Source organism: Homo sapiens, chromosome X, assembly GCF_000001405.40.
Source record: "Homo sapiens chromosome X, GRCh38.p14 Primary Assembly".
Lineage (NCBI taxonomy): Eukaryota > Metazoa > Chordata > Mammalia > Primates > Hominidae > Homo > Homo sapiens.
In genome coordinates, this window is record NC_000023.11 from 101902173 (window position 1) to 101916788 (window position 14616).

The 14616-nt window shown below is 39.4% G+C and overlaps 1 protein-coding gene and 1 pseudogene across 8 annotated transcripts in view, besides 1 other annotated feature; one reads left to right on the forward strand and one right to left on the reverse strand.

Annotated features, from left to right (window-relative positions):
* The window catches only part of ZMAT1 (zinc finger matrin-type 1), a 49738-nt gene that overhangs the window by 19883 nt on the left and 15239 nt on the right, over window positions 1-14616 (reverse strand). For all 8 annotated transcript variants that reach the window (NM_001394560.1, XM_005262213.5, NM_001282401.2 and 5 more), the window contains one exon: window positions 2052-2158. In NM_001394560.1, the coding sequence (NP_001381489.1) occupies window positions 2052-2158 (107 nt within the window). The remainder of the gene's footprint in view (window positions 1-2051; window positions 2159-14616) is intronic.
* Window positions 3782-4283: an enhancer, noted in NCBI's record as "H3K4me1 hESC enhancer chrX:101160927-101161428 (GRCh37/hg19 assembly coordinates)". NCBI's record gives its function as "activates a minimal SCP1, AML or CMV promoter by ChIP-STARR-seq in primed H9 embryonic stem cells {active_cell/tissue: H9 hESC(primed)}" and the evidence as "EXISTENCE:reporter gene assay evidence [ECO:0000049][PMID:30033119]".
* Window positions 13417-13523, forward strand: RNU6-345P (RNA, U6 small nuclear 345, pseudogene; annotated as a pseudogene).

Sequence of the window (14616 nt, forward strand, 5' to 3'; positions counted from 1 at the left end):
TATGGTTCTTATATGATAGTTTATTATTTTAACTTGCATGTCCTGTGTGATCACTAGTGAAGCTGAGTATCTATTCTATGGACTGTTCACATCACTTTCCCATTTTTCTATTTGCTTCTTGTTCTAATTGATTTGTAGTCCTTTCTGTATTCTAGACACGAATCCTTCGTTAGTTATATAGGTTATAGATATCAACTAATGTGTGGCATATATTTTTAATTTAGTTTATGATTTAAAAATTTTTAATGTCATATAAATTTCTTCTACAGATATTGTGACTCATTTGAAAGCTGTGACTTATTTTAAAGGTGAAATTGTTGTAGATATAGGAAACCAGGCTAATACAATAAAACAGGATAAAAGCCTCAAAACAAACCAATATATATGTGGAAATTAGCATACAATAGAGGTGCCACTACAAATCAATGAGGTAAGGGTGGACTATACAATAAATAGTGCTGGAACAACTGGCTATCCATATGAAAAACCTGTTGTCACCCTCCATACACGAAAATCAATACCAGATGAATTATAACATAAGAAGTAAATCTTCAAAGTTTTAGAAGAAAATAGAGGAAAGTATATGACAAAAGTGTATAGAATGGTTTATTAAACACATAAGCACAGACACAAAAGAAATATTAATAAATACAACCTCATTAAAATTCAAAACTTCTGCAATACTGTTATATTTTACAATACTATACTGAGAGTCTGTATATCTTTTTTGTAAAAATGCATGTGTATATGTGTGTGTGTGTGTTCAGAAATCATATTGGAATCACAGAAGCAAAAGAGAAATTCAATAATGGTTAACTACAAGTGATAGAATTATAATTTATATCTATTTTCTTGTATTTTTGCCTATTTTCTAGACTGAATAGTGCTTTATGATTCCATAAAAAGCTGTTTTTCCAATATAAATTAAAATGGTCCAAATGGATAAATTGTAGTTATCACAGAGCCCCTTGACTGTCTGTCTCTGTTACTAATTCTAAATCTTTGATCTATGGAGTCTAAAGATGTGCTAGGCACTCTCACACATTTGATTTCACTTAATTCTCACAAGTATAGTAAGAGGTTTTTACCACTCTCACTTTACAGGTCCAAGAAACATGCTCAGAAAGGTAAAGTGACTTGCCAAAGCTTATGTAACTAGTCAATGGTGGAATTAAGACTTAACCCTACCTCCTCTCAATCCACAGTCACACAATTTCCCTATCTGTAATTATAGTAAATTAATTTCAACCAACATTAGGATTAAAATATAATTACCAATAAGATTAGCAATGGGAAGAACAAGATGAGATGTTTAAAAAAGTAGAACTGGCATTACATTAGTTTTAAATGAATGTATCTAGTATTTTTGGTAACCTAGATACCAGATATGAAAGAAATCCAACAGCTCATCAGATAATGTAGAAACATGAAGCAACACCAAATGAAGGGAAAGAACACTGGATATGAAATAAGAAGAAATCATTTTTAGGCTTAGTCATACCAGTGATTAGCCATGGAGAAGTATTAATCCTCTTGGTCTCAGTTTTCTAATCTATAAACTAAGAGAGTAAGGACATTAAACATTCTCTATTTTAGCTCTAGGATTCTACATTCCTGTGTCTAAAAACATGTGGTTCAATCAAGTGCAAGACTGGTTCGTTTTGTTTTTATAGTCTTCATTTGCTGTTAAGGAAGACTCTGGGAGTTCTACATAATATCCCTTGATTCACATTAATAGTTTCCTATGCAAGCTTCATAATGCCTCACTTATATTTAATACAAGGGTGGATGGCTTGATGGATGCAAAGGGAGTGGTGTGAAGAGAAGAAAACAAGCTTTGGAGTAAAAGACTGAGTTTAAATCTGAATTCCCCAAACTTAAAGTAGTATATTACCATCCCTTTCTGAGCCAATCTCCTCATCCATCAAAGGAAAATACTACTACCTTTTTCACAGGATTCTCATAAGAATCAAGTAAGATGACTTACAGGAAGTTTACTTGCTACATTTAAAAACCTGCTTTAGACCCTACTTCCATTATTTTTAACCTACCTCATAATGTGAAATTCTTTGTGATTCAAACTGTAGCATCACTCCACATACTTGACAAAACTTATCTGTAAAAAGTTCAGCCTTTTCCTGTTCATTCCAAATGGCGTCTGTGAATAAAAAAGGGAAGACAAATATATCACATTAATAAATATTTAGAGGTATCATTTTTCATTCCTCAACTATATATGATTTCATATGATACTTCAAATTTGAGTGCTTGTGAGGCTACAGTAACAGCTTTTTGTTCGAGTGTGCAATTTAATATGCACATACTAAGTATCCCTCTAATGTCAGATATGGCAAGAGTTATTTTAGTATGATAAGTCTAGGCAATGGCATTCTAAAGGAATCATTATGGGGGCACCAGTAACTTCATGAGCTTCATGGAATGACTTGGGACACCAGTAATTAAAGGCTGGATTTAAAAACCCAGCCTTGGCCAGGTGCGGTGGCTCATGCCTGTAATCCCAGCACTTTGGGAGGCTGAGGTAGGAGGACCACTTGAGGTCAGGAGTTTGAGAACAGCCTGGGCAACATAGCAAGACACAATCTCTAAAAAAAAAATTAGAAATAAAAATTAGCTGGGCATGGTGGCATGCGCCTGTGGTCCTAGCTACTCCGGAGGCTGAGATGATCACTTGAGCCCAGGAGGTCGAGGCTGCAGTGAGCTATGATTGTGCCTTCCAGCCTGAGCTACAGCAAGACACTGTTTCAAACAAACAAACAAAAAACAAACCTGAAAACCAACCAAACAAACAAAAAACAGCCTTGATATTTTATGTTTAACAGCAGACAATCCTAAGAAATGCTTTGTTTTAGGACTGTCATTTGTCACAGGATTCTCGTTAAGAATCAAGAGATTTTTACCACTCTCATTTTACAGGTCCAAGAAACATGAAGCTATGCCTTCAATGTTATCTAGAAATCACAAGGAACCACAAACTATCTTTGCCCATAGTGGGCAAACATCCTTCATCATTGTACAAACACTAGCCTACTAATGTGGCCAAACAAGTCTCACACAAGCCTCTCAAAGCTATAATGTAATGTTCATATACATATCTAGAAATGTATGCTATAGTGTTTCTCACTGTAATAAATAAGGGGACATGCCAAAACTTTCTGCATTTACACTTGAGGTCTATAGTGTCATCTAAAATTCTTAAGAATTACAATGTATTCTGCCAAAGTTTATCCATTTTTTATACAGTATGAGTCACAAACATCAAAATTCTCATTGCTATTTGGCTATCAAAGTGAATAAGTTGGTACACATGCTTTCACAGAGAGATGCCAATTGCTTATTAAATGAATAAAAAGCTGTAGAACAAATACAATACATCCAATTCCCAATACTAACAAAAATTAAATATATGCACATATATGCACAGAAAAATCTGGAATAAAATAAACCGAATTTAAAAATGGTTAACTCTGGTAGGTAGGCCTAGAAAAGGAACAAGGAGAGACAACTTAATGTTTAACTTTCTGTACAACTGTCTTAATTTTTGCAGAAAAGAATGCAGGACTTTCTAATTAAAAAACTATTAGGACGGACATCATCAAGATGGTAGAATAGGACTCTTCAGCACTCATCTCTCTACAGAAACATCAATTAAAATAACTATCCACAAATGAAAATATCTTCACAAGAGCCAAAAAACTAAAAAAAAAAAAAAAAACAAATATGTAGGAGATTATATCAGCACCTGGGTGTAGCACAGAAATAAGGTGCATTCAAGAAGGTAGGAAAGAGAGTTTTACACTATCAGCATCAGCCCCCTACCAAGCCCAGCATAGAGTGGAGAGAGATACCCTCTGTGTGAGAGAAGGAGAGGGAAGTGAGCACTGAACTTTAATTCCAACTCCAAAACTGGACCCACCCCAGTAATATCCAGTGCTAGGAAGGCCCCCACAGCCCCAGACTTCAGGACAGTACCAGTGGACTCAGCCTCCAGGCCTGCTCCAGTGCCAAGCCGAATCATTCAACCCCAAGCTCCAGGCCTGCACAGTGGACTTGGTCTCCAGGTTACTCCAACATCAGGCCAACCTCAGCAGTACCATGTCCTCGACCATCTCCAGCATTGGACTAGCTCCCAAGGCTCCTGGCTTCAGGCCAGGGTCAGCTCCAGCACCCGGCCAACTCCCACAGCCCTAGTCATAAGGCTGGCACCTGCAGACTCAGCCTCCAGGCCAGCCCCTGGAGGGAGCTAATATAGGCCCCAAGAGGCTGGTACCCACAGACTGAGCCTCCAGTCCCACCCCAGAACCAGGCAGGATCCCACAGCCCTGCCCTCCAGGCTGGCACCTGTAGCTCTTGCTGGAGCTCCTGCATCTCAGTGTTCCAGCAGACCCAGGGCCCACCCAGGCCAGTTCCAGTAGACCACAGTGCTCGGCTTGCCCCCGTGGACCCAGGTGCCAGGACCATCCCTGTGTGCCCAGGTCCCAGGCTGGCCCTGTGGCTCCAAGACCCACATTAGCCCCCAGGGACCTAGCCTCTAAGCTAGCCCTTGCACACCCAGCCTCCAGGCTTGCTTCTGCAGACTCAGGCTCCAGGCCAGCCCAAGTAGCTCCAGGCATTGGGCTAGCATCCACAATCCTGGACTCCAGATGAGACTCTGGTTACAAGTTCCACACTGGTCTCAGCACCAGGCCCCAGGCTCCAGAGGACCCAGGCTCCAGGCTTATTCTAGAAGACCCAGGGTCCATGCCCACTCCTGTAGACCCCAGTACCAGGCAGGACCCCTTGGACTGAGGCTCCAAGACCACCCCTGCAGACTCAGGCTCCAGGTCTATCTCAGTGATCCCAGGAACCAGGCACCTCAGTGATCATTTCAATAATCCAAGACACCCCAGTGCTAGGCTAGCCTCCATGGACTCAAGCTCCAGGCCCATGCCAGTGGACCTAGGTGTCAGGCCCATCCAGTGTTCAGCCATCTCCTATAGACTCAGGTTCAAGGCCTACCCCAGCACCAGGTGAGCCCCTGTGGACCAGGCTTCAGGTTGGCAGGTTGGCTCCTGTGGATACAGGCTCCAGGCCTGCCCTCGTCAACACAGGCTGTAGGTCCATTCCTCAAGACCCAATCAACAGGTCCATCCCAGTGGATTCAGGCTTCAGGCCCAACCCTGAAGACCCAGATACCAGGGCCAGCAAGCGTATCAGGGATCATACCAGATGGCCTGCCCGGGAATCTCTGGATGGGCTGACTGGTGAAGGGCTTTCCCAGAAAAATTAAGTCTGCAAAAATTGGAATAAGTCCTTACGTTTCTTTAAATGTGCAGACATTAATGTAAGGCAATGAGAAACATGAAAAACCAAGAGACATAGCACCACCACAAGAACACAGTTTCTTAGTAGCTAACCTCTATACAAACGGTCTGACAAAGATTCAAAATAACTGTTTTTAGAAATCTCAATGAACTTCAAAAAAATAGAGAATTTAATGAAATCAAGAAAACAATAAATGATCAAATTAGACATTTAACAGAGGGACTGAAATTATATTTTAAAAGTATCAAATAAATTCTGGAGCTTAAAAATACAATGAATGAAATGAAAAATGTAATAGCATCAACCTCAGAATTGATCAGGCAAAAGAAATAATCTATGAACTCAAAGATAAGCTATTTGAAAATATACCGTAAGAGGAAAAAAAAAGAAAAGAATGAAAAGGAAAAACTAAAACAGAGCAGGAGTACCTATACCTATACCTATATTAGATAGAAACCGTTGAAGATATTTATTTTAAAAGTTATGTTAGATATCTTCACCTAAGTTAATTTTCAATATCATTACATGGACTAAAAAGGCTTACTTTTAAAAGTGCATACTCAAGAATAAATGTAACTAGAAACGTGTAAAAAATAACAATGAATAGTTACAAATTTATCTCTACTACATATAGTATCACCTCAATTATTTTTGAGATTGTTTTAGAATATGTGATTTATCTAACTTCGATTCTAACATCAGCAGTGTAAATAAGTTAATTAAAATGCATTTCATGACTTCCCTTTTTCAGGATTAACTACTACGTGCAAATTGAGCATAGTGGTATAATCTTGAACTTCCCATCCATTAAAATCTTTAATACGAATAAGTAAATATAGAAGGCAAAGCAAGATGGCAGAACAGAAAGCTCTACTGATTGTCCCCCAACCCCACAAGGACACCAAGTTAACAACTATCTACACAGAAAAAAATACCTTCACAAGAACCAAAAATCAGGTGAGAGCTCAAAGCACCCAATTTTAACTTCAGATCACTGAAAGAGGCACTTAAGAGATAGAAAAAAAAAGGTCCTGAATAGCTGATGCCACCCCTCCCCCATCCCTGCAGCTGCAGCCTGGTGCAGAGAGCATTTCTGGATGCTGGAAGGGAGAACACAGCAATTCTTAGGCAGTGAACTCGGTGCTATCCTGTTAGAGCAGAAAGGAAAAGCAGACCAAACTCAGCTGGTACCCAACCAGGGAAGGATCATTTAAACCAGCCCTAGCCAGAGAGGAGTTGTTCATCCCAGTGGTTCAAAGTTGAGTGTCTGCAAACCTTACCTCTGAGGGCCAAAGTGCTCTCAGTCTCTAAGTAAACCTGAAAGGCAGTCTAGGCAATAGGTACCGCAATTCGTAGGCGAGTCCTAGGGCTGAACTAGGCCCAGAGACAGTGGACTGGGGTGAGGGGGCAGGGCACATGACATACTGAGACACCAGCTGGGGCAGCCAAGGAAGGACTGAAATCACCCCTCCCTTAATCCCAGGCTACATGGTTTGAGGCTCCAAAAGAGACCTCTTCCTTCTGCTTGAGGAGAGGAGAGGTAAGAGAGGAGAGGACTTTGCCTTGCATCTTGGTTACCAGCTCAGCCACACAAGGATAGAGCACCAGTCAGAGCTGTGAGGACCCTGTTCCAGGCCATAGCTCCCAGATGACATTTCAAGACACACCCTGAGCCAGAAAGGTATTCCCTGACTTGAAGGAAAGGACCCAATCCTTACAGCGTTCATCATCTGCTAACTGAAGAGCCCTTGGGACCTGAATAACCAGCAGTGATACCCAGGAACTACCTTGAGGGCCTTGTTGAGCCTCTGACACTTGCTGGCTTCAGGTGGGGCTCAGCAAATTACCAGCTGTGGTGCTATGGGGCAAAACTCCTTCTCCTTTAGAAAAGCAGAGGGAAAAGTAAAGAGGACTTTGTCTTACCCCTTAGGTACCAACACCACCACAGTGGGGTAGGGCATCAAGCGGGCTCCTGGGGTCCCTGATTCTAGAGTTGACTGTTGGACAGCATTTCTGGGACTGCCCTGGGCCAGAGGCGAGCTCACAGCGCTGAAATGTGAGTCCCAAGCCAGGCAGCATTCACAAGTGCACTTAAGAGCCCCTGTGCCTTAAGGGAACACCAGTGGTAATCTGGCAGTACACCTTGCCTTGTGGCCAGGGGTGGCCGTGGCTATGGGGTGAGGCTACTCTGCCTTTGGAAAGTGAAGGAAGGATAAGAAAGACTGAGTCTTGTGGTTTGAGTACCAGCTCAGCTGCAATACAATAGAATACCAGGTAGACTTCTAAGGTTTTTTTAACTCTAGTCGCTGACTCCCAAACAACACTTCTAGACTCACCCAGAGATTAGGGGACCTCGCCACCCTGAAAGGAAAGGCACAGGCCTGGCTGGCTTTGCTACTTGTGGATTGTAGAGCCCCAGGGCCTTGAGAAAACATAGGCAGTAGTAAGGGAGTGGTTACAATGGGCCTTAGGCAAGACTCAGCTCTGTGCTGGCTTCAGGTGTGACCCAGCATAGTCACAGTGGTGGTGGCCACAGGGATGCTTCTGTCAATCCATCCCCTGATTTAGGTGACTCAGAACAGACAGAGACTCTGTAAGTTTGGGAGAAAGTAAGGTAAGAGAAAAAGAGTATCTGCCTGGTCATATAGAGAATTCTCCCAGATCATGTTCAAGACCATCAGGGCAGCACCTCTATGAGTCTGCGAGAACCACAGTGTTACAGGGCCTGGGTGCCCCAGAAAGAAGACACAGCTTAGATCACAACACCCAGGTCCTTTCAAATATCTGGTAAGCCTTCACAAGAAGGACAGCTACAAATAAGCCCAGACAGTGAAGACTACATTAAATGCCTAACTCTTTGATGCCCAGACACCAAAGAACATCTACTAGCATCAACACCATTCCGAAAAACATGACCTCACCAAATAAACTTAAAAAGGCACCAGGGACCAATCCTGGAGAAACAGAAACATGTGGACTTTCACAGAGAGAATTCAAAGTAGCTGTGTTGAGGAAACTCAAAGAAATTCAAGATAACAGAGAGAAGGAATTCAGAATTGTATCAGATAAATTTAACAAAGAGATTGAAATAATTAAAAAGAATCAGGCAGAAATACTGGAGCTGAAAAATCAACTGGCATACTGAAGAATGAATCAGAGTCCTTTAATAGCAGAACAGATAAAGCAGAAGAAAGAATTAGTGAGCTTGAAGATAGGCTACTTGAAAATACACAGAGGAGACAAAAGAAAAAAGAATAAAAAACAATGACACACACCTACAGGAACTAGAAAATAGATTGAAAAAGGCAAATCTATGAGTTGTTGGCCTGAAAGAGGAGGTAGAGAAAGAAATTAGGTAGAAAGCTTATTCAAAGGGATAATAATGAGAACTTCTGAAATCTAGATAAAGATATCAATATCCAAGTACAAGAACATTATAGAACACCAAGCAGATTTAATTCAAAGACGACTACCCCAAGGCATTTAATAATCAAGTACCCAAAGGTCAAGAATAAAGAAAGGATCCTAAAAACAGCAAGAGAAAAGAAAAAAATAACATACAATGGAGCTCCAATATGTCAGGCAGCAGACTTTTCAATGGAAACCTTACAGGATAGAAGAGAGTGGCATCACATATTTAAATGCTAAAGAAAAAAAAAGCCCTTTTACCCTAGAATAGTATATTCAGTGAAAATATCCCTTAAACATGAAGGAGAAGTACTTTCCAAGACAAACAAATGCTGACGGATTTCATCAATACCAGACCTGTGCTAAAAGAAATGCTAAAGGAAGTACTTCAACCAGAAAGAAAGGGACATTAATGAGCAATAAATAATCACCTGAAGGTACAAAACTCACTAGTAATAGTAAATACACAGAAAACCACAGAATATTATAATACTATAACAGAGGTGTATAAACTACTCTTATCCTAAGTAGAAAGACTGAATAATGAACCAATCAAAAAGAATAACTACAACTTTTCAAGACATAGTACAGTAAGATATAAGTAAAAACAACAAAAAGTTAAAAAGTCACCTCACCCAACAACAGCGAATCCACACAGGGGAGAAGCCCTATGAATGCAATGACTGTAGCAAGGCATTCAGTCACAGCTTGTCCCTCACCAAACATTAGCGAATCCACGCTGGGGAGAAGCCAGCCCTACGAATGCAACCAGTGTGGCAGAGCCTTCAGCCAGCTTGCTCCCCTCATTCAGCATCAGAGGATCCACACAGGAGAGAAACCCTATGAATGTAACCAGTGTGGCAGAGCCTTCGGCCAGAGCTCCCGTCTCATCGAACACCAGAGGATTCACACCAAGGAAAAGCCCTATCGGTGCAATGAGTGTGGGAAATCCTTCAGCCACAGCTCCTTGCTCAGCCAGCATGAAAGGACGCACACTGGGGAAAAGTCCCATGGGTGTCACGATTGCGGAAAGTCCTTTAGGCAGAGCACCCACCTCACTCAGCACCGGAGGATCCACACAGGAGAGAAGCCATATGTGTGCAGGGACTGTGGAAAGGCCCTTACACACAGCTCCTCCCTTACCAAGCACCAGAGAATTCACACTGGATAAACCCACTCCACATGTGCTGGGGACATGGGAAGACCTTAAGCCATAGCTCATCCTTTTCTAGATTTGACTCAATCATACACATGAGAAACGTATATTCATACAAAAGCCTTTTCACACAGCACTCCCCTCAGACACCCTCAGAGAGTTCACACTGATGGGAAATGACCATGGGACCACCAAGCTCTAGGTCATCCATCCCTGCATCCAAATAGTAGGGAAATGTGGAAATAATCAACACTCATGACCTTCAGCCTCGAACACCCATTAGTGCTACATTATAGAACCTACAAAACAGAAATGGAACAAGTGTAGTGGATCCAGGGAAAGCTTTTGTCCAAGGATTCACCGTATTCCAAACCAGAGATGTTCAAATTGGTGAGAAATCCAACAAATGCCTTTCATATATACAAGAACCAAATGAAGTCAGAATTAGCCATTATTGCACATTACATTTTTGGGTGGGGGGGAAGTGCTTATGAACGGTGCAGGTTGACTCTGATATTCATTCCCAAATGACAATATGGCAGAGTGTTCCAGAAATGAGAGTGGCATCTTTATGGAATCACTATGGATACTGACTGTCTCAGTAAAAAGCTGTCTGGTTTGTGTGTATATTGTTTGATCAGGGTACATGGCAGCCAGTTACAGATTGGAATTCCATATGACAAAGTATCAGTGTACTATAAACAGGTTTTTAGTTATCCCTGCATTATTTTTGCAATTAATCTTTATATACAATGAGACTGAAAAGCTTTGTATGGGAAGACTCAAAATGTAAAGCTGCTTCCATAGAGTCTCACTGACTTTGAGATGGCTTTTACTGCTCTGTTCTCCCTCTACATTTCTCTGCAGAACTCGCATTAGCAACACAGATATTTGTTTTACAAAAAGGGAGATTTTTCCTTTGTTAAACCATCATCTTATAAGCAATAGCAAATTCATGTTAGAAAAAAAAAGTGGGGGGATGAAGTTAAGGTGAGTTTTTATTAGTTTTCTTTTTGCTTGTTCATGTAAATAGTGTTAAGTTGTTAGCAGTTTAAAATAATGAGTTGTAAGTTATAAGAAGGTATCTGCAAGCCTCATGGGAACCTCAAACCAAAAAACATACAATAGATACACTAAAAATAAAAAGCAAGAAATTAAATCATATTATCAGAGAAAATCATCTTCACTAGAGGAAGACAGAAATGAAAGAAAGAAGGAAGAGAAGACCACAAAACAACCAGGAAACAAAAATCAAAAGGGAAGAACTAAGTCCTTACTTATCAATAATAATACTGAAGGTAAATGGACTAAACTTCCCCATCAAAAGACACTGACTCACTGAATGGATGAAAAAACAAGACCCACTGATCTGTTGCCTAGAGGAAACATACTTTACCTATACAGACACACAGACTGAAAATGAAAGGATAGAAATAGACATTCCATGCCAATGAAACTAAAACAGAACAGGAGTCACTATACTTAGATCAGACAAAATTGATTTCAAGACCAAAACTGTAAGAAGAGACAAAGAAGGACACTATATGATGATAAAGGGGTCAGTTCAGCCAGAGGGAGGACATAACAATTTTAAATAGATATGCACCCAACACTGCAGTGCCCAGATATATAAAGGAAATATTACTCAAGTGAAAGAGAGAGATAGGCCCCAATACAGTAACAGCTGGAGACTTCAACACCCCACTTTCAGCTTTAGAAAGATCTTCCAGACAGAAAGTCAACAAAGAAACAGCAGATGTAATCTGCACTACGGATGAAATGGATCTAACAGATATTTACAGAACATGTCATGCAACAACCGCAGAATACACATTCTTTTCCTTAGCACATAGGTCTTTCTCAAGAATAGACCATATGTTAGGTCACAAAATAACTCTTAAAACTCTCAAAAAACTGAAATAATATCAAGCATCTTCTCGAACCACAATGGAATAAAACTAGAAATCAATAATAATAGGAATTTTGAAAACTATACAAATACATGGAAATTAAACAATATGCTCCTCAATAACCAGTGGCTCAATGAAGAAATTAAGAAGGATATTGAAAAATTTCTTGAAACAAATAACAGTAGAAACACAACATGCCAAAACCTATGGAATACAGCAAAAGCAGTACTCAGAGGGAAGTTTATAGCTATAAGTCTCTACATTTAAAAAGAGTTTAGAAAAACTTCAAGTAAATAATCAAATGATGGATCTGAAAGAACTAGAAAAAAACAGCAAAACAACCCCCAAATTAGTAGAACAAAAGAAATAATAAATATCAAGCAGAAATAAATGAAATTGAAATTAAAAATACAATACAAAAGACCAATGAAACAAAAAGCTGGGTTTTTTTTGAAAAGTTCAACAAAATTGACAAACCATTAGCCAGACTACTAAGAAAAAAAGCAAGAAGATCCAAATATATCAAATCAGAAATGAAAAAGGAGACATTACAACTGATACCGCAGAAATTCAAAGGATCATTAGTGTCTACTATGAGCAACTATATGCCAGTAATTTGGAAAATCTAGAGGAAATGGACAAATTCCTTGATAGATACAGCTTACTGAAATTGAACCAGGAAGAAATCCAGAACCATTCAGGCCAATAACAAGTAATGAGATAGAAGCCATAATAAAAAAAAATTCTCAGTAAAGAAAAGCCCGGGACCTAATTGCTAAATTCTAGTAAACATTTAAAGAACTACGACCAATCCTACTAAAACTATTCTGAAAAACAGAGGAGGAAGCAATACTTCCAAACTCATTCTATGATGCCAGTATTACCCTGATACCAAAAACAGACAAAGAGACATCCAAAAAAGAAAACTACAGGCCAAGATCTCTGATGAATATTGATGCAAAAATCCTCAACAAAATATAGCAAACAGAATTCAACACTACATTAGAACGATCATTCATCATGACCTAGTAGGATGTTTTTCCCGGGATGCAAGGATGGTTCAACATATACAAATTAATCAATGAGATACATCATAATAATAAAGGATTAAAAACCATATGATCATTTCAATTGATGCTGACAAAGCATTTGATATAATTCAACATTCCTTTGTGATAAAAATCCTCAAAAAACTGGGGATAGATGGAACATACTTCAACATAATAAAAGCCTTATACTACAGACCCACAGCTAGTATTGCAATGAATGGGCAAAAACTGAAAGGTTTTACTCTAAGATCTGGAACTTGACAAGGATGCCCAGTGTCAAAACTGTTATTCAGCATAGTACTAGAAGTCCTAGCTAGAGCAATCAAACAAAAAATATATATATATATATAAAGGGCATCCAAATGGGAAAGGAAGAAGTCAAATTATCCTTGTTTGCAGATGATGATATGACCTTATACTTGGGAAAACCTATAGACTCCACAAGTAAACTATTAGAACTGATAAACAAAATCAGTAAATTTTCAGGAAACAAAATCAACATACAAAAAGGACTAGCATTTCTATATGCCAACAATGAACAATCTGAAAAAGAAACTAAAAAATAACTCAAATGCTTACTTCAGCAGCACATATACTAAAACTGGAATGATACAGAGAAAATTAGCATGGCCCCTGCATATGGATGACACACAAATTCATGAAGCATTCCATAGTTTTAATCTCATGCCAGTCATAATGGTGATTACTAAAAAGTCAAGAAACAACAGATGCTGGCGAGGCTGTGGAGAAATAGGAACACTATTACACTATTGGTGTGAATGCAAATTATTTCAACCATTGTGGAAGACAGTGCAGTGATTCTTAAGGATCTAGAACGAGAAATACCATTTGACCCAGAAATCCCATTACTGGATATATAGCCAAAGGATTATAAATCATTCTGCAGTAAAGACACATGCACATGTATGTTTACTGCAGCACTATTTACAACATCAAAGACATGGAACCAACCCAAATGTCCATCAATGATAGACTGGATAAAGAAAATGTGGTACATATACACCATGGAATACTATGCAGCCACATAAAGGAATGAGATCATGTTCTTTGCAGGGACATGGATGAAGCTGGAAGCCATAATCCTCAGCAAACTAACACATGAACAGAAAACCAAACACCGCATTTCTCACTCATAAGTGGGAGTTGAATAATGAGAACACACGGACACAGTGAGGGGAATAACACACATCGGGGCCAGTTGGGGGGTGGGGGCGAAAGGAGGGAGAGCATTAGGGCAAATAGCTAATACATGCAGGGCTTAAAACCTAGATGATGGGTTGATAGGTCCAGCAAACCATGGCACATATATACCTATGTAACAAACCTACATGTTCTGCACTTGTATTCTGGAATTTAAAGTAAAATTTAAAAAATTTAAAAAATAATCCAATTTACAATAGTCACACATAAAATTAAATACCTAGGCATTAACTTAAGCAAAGAAATGCAAGATCTCTGTAATGAAAACTGTAAAACACTGATGAATTATATTGAAGAGGACACCAAAAAATAGAAAAATATTCCATGTTCATGGATTGGAAGAATCAATATTGTTAAAATCTCCATAGGACCCAAAGCAATCTACAGATTCAAAGCAATCCCTATCAAAACACCAATGACATTCTTCACAGAGATAGAAAAAAAATCTCAAAATTTATATGGAACTACAGAAGACCCAGAATAGCCAAAGTTATCCTAAGTAAAAAGAACAAAACTGGAGGAATTGTTCCTCCATTGCCTGACTTCAAAT